The 688-nt window shown below is 47.5% G+C and overlaps 1 long non-coding RNA gene across 1 annotated transcript in view; it reads left to right on the forward strand.

Annotated features, from left to right (window-relative positions):
- STX16-NPEPL1 (STX16-NPEPL1 readthrough (NMD candidate)) overlaps positions 1 to 688 on the forward strand; it is a 64,592-nt gene that overhangs the window by 37,190 nt on the left and 26,714 nt on the right. The gene's annotated exons all lie outside the window — the stretch shown is intronic.

The following is a 688-nucleotide window of genomic DNA, read 5'->3' on the forward strand; positions in this document are numbered from 1 at the left end:
TGGCGGTCTGGAACTGAACCCAGAATATCTCCGAGGTGTGCCTGTATGTGTGTATATATGTGTGTGTGTGTGTCTATGTGTGTGTGTGTCTATGTGTGTGTTTGTGTGTATGTGTGTGTCTGTGTGTGTATACATGTGTGTATGTGCGTATATATGTGTATGTGTGTGTGTGGTGTGTGTGGTGTGTGTGTGTGTGGTGTGTGTGTATGTGTGTGTGGTGTGTGCGTGTATGTGTGTGTGGTGTGTGTGTGGTGTGTGTGTGTGTGTATCTGTATATATATGTATGAATCTAGGTGAAGGGTATACAAGTGTTCATTATACTAGTTTTTCATCTTTTCCAAAAGTTAATGAACTTTTCAAAAAAGTTTCTAGAGAAATGTGTTTTCATGGCAACGAGTTCTCTTTCCTCCCTTCAGGGAACATTTAGTGCAAATCTAGGTGGCATGTCTGGTGCCAGTTGCAAAAGGCAACGGAGGCCCTCCCTGCTGTGCAGGCACTCAGGTTGCAGCAAGGGACAGCACAAACATCCACAACGCAGGGCAGCATTCAAGGCGGTCGTGCAGCTGTCACAGTTTTCACTGGTTGTGGGCTCACTTCTCAGCCAGCTGCTCAGGGAGGTCCTTGGAGCTGAGCCTGCCTCTGCTTCCTCTGGGCTCACGAGCAGGTCATTCTGAAGCAGGAAGGAGCC

Source organism: Homo sapiens, chromosome 20 (assembly GCF_000001405.40).
Source record: "Homo sapiens chromosome 20, GRCh38.p14 Primary Assembly".
Lineage (NCBI taxonomy): Eukaryota > Metazoa > Chordata > Mammalia > Primates > Hominidae > Homo > Homo sapiens.